This window comes from Homo sapiens, chromosome 1 (assembly GCF_000001405.40).
Source record: "Homo sapiens chromosome 1, GRCh38.p14 Primary Assembly".
Classification (NCBI taxonomy): Eukaryota; Metazoa; Chordata; class Mammalia; order Primates; family Hominidae; genus Homo; species Homo sapiens.
Window position 1 is genome coordinate 198,790,040 of NC_000001.11, and position 2,039 is coordinate 198,792,078.

A 2,039-nucleotide genomic window follows, 5' to 3' on the forward strand; every position below is an offset into this window, starting at 1 on the left:
CAGTTGACTAGCATATCGGCATGTCTTATCATGATATTTATGCTGCTTTTTGGCAAAAGGCATGTTAAATAGAACAGCCTGTCTTCTTCCACAGTTTCAAAAAGCATTCCATGTACTTCTGATTCTCAAACTGCTGTACCCAAGAGTGGCCCGGACTGGCTGATTTTTTTTTATTAAATCTCTTTCTCCTTCTTCCTGATTTCACAGCTAGAACATATTTTCTCACCTGTCTTGCAGCAAGATTTGACCAAACGATTGAATTATCCCATTCAAGTTGGCATGCCCGTATAGAAATGGGAAAAACCAAGTGGTTTTCCTGTTCTCACATAGTCACACAACACAACACTTTTGACACCGGATGTGTGGGCTTCTGCCTATTTACGAAGAAATTCTTCAGTAAACACCAACTAAGTGTCCTATAATTTAATTCCATTCTGACACTATCAATCCAGGTGTTAGATCCCATAGGTTGAGGATTCAGTCCCATAAGACTGCCACCCACTTCAGATTCCAATCAAAAGTAGTAGATTGTCACCTCTACTTCTAACTGACTGGCTATAAATCAGGGTTCCCTTGACCCTATTCTCCAATTTGATTAGTTTGATAGGATGGCCCATAGAACTCAGGGAGAGACTTATGCTTACCCATTTATTATAAAGGATATTACAAAGAATACAGATAAATAGCCAGATGGAAGAGATGCATCTGGAGGCAAGGTATAGGAGAAGGGGAGCAAAGTTTCTATATCCTCTCCAGACATGCTACCCTACAGGAGCCTCCATATGTTCAGCTATCCAGAAGCTTTCTGAACCCCGGCCTTTTGAGTTTTTATGGAGTCTTCATTACATAGGCATGATTGATTACATTATTGGCTATTGATAATCAGCTCAACAATTGACCCTTCTTCCCTCCCTGGAGGTTGGGAGGTGGGTCTAAAAGTCCTAACCCTGTAATCATGGCTGGCTTTTTCTGGTGTCCAACTCTCATCTTGAAGCTACCTAGGAGCCCCACTTGCCACTCATCTTATTAGCTTACAAAAGACACTCTTATCACTTTGAAGATTTCAAGTGTTTTAGGAGCTGTGCACCAGGAAACATGGACCAAGACCAAATATCTATTTCACAATATCACAGCAAGCAACATCTTTCAGGCTTGCCATGCATGGTCTGCCATGATCGTTTTCACCTGCACGCTGAGGTTGATGAGACTACCAGTCAGAGAATTGGTGAACTGGTTAGGCCACCAGTCAGAGTAATTTTCAGAAACCTATCGACCAGTAATACCTATTGGGGCCTAAAGCAAACAAAAAACAAATGCCTGCAGGTGTAGACACTAAAATGTAGGAGTTTACTCTTAAAGCAGCATGTATTAGGTTAATCAATAACTCATCCTAACTCCTGTCTTGAGATCCAGACTCACATTTCTTAATTGCTACCTGGATACCCTTGAATTATATCAAGTATGACATATCCAAAACTGTAACAATTATCTTGGTATCCAAATATACCTTTTTTTTCAGTCACTACCCACTCTATTTACCAAACTAGGAATATTGGCTCACCCTTTATATCTGTGTTTCTACAACTTTGTCACACATACAAATCATTGGGCAGATTTGTTATAACACAGATTTTTACTTCCTCCCACTTCGCTCCTGACCCAGTGATTCTGATTCAGGAAGTCTAGGGTGGCCCTGAGACATCAGGGATACTGATGCTGCTAGCCCATGGTTTATACTTTGGATATCCCTGTTGTACACCCCCACCTTTAAACCATCTTACTTTCTAATTCGGTATTGAGTGCTAAGCAGTCCATCTGGATAAGTCTACCCTCTTTTTTTTTCATTTTCCAATTGACTTATTTTAGGTTTCTATTATCTCTCACATTTATTGTTGCATTTCCTTCACAAGGGGTCTGTCACCCTCAAACACGTTCTGCAACAGCTGTCAGAATGGCTTTGTAAACCATCTAACCAACCACCCAACCAACCAACTGACCACCTAACCAATTAACCAACCAATCAACCAACTAACCAACCA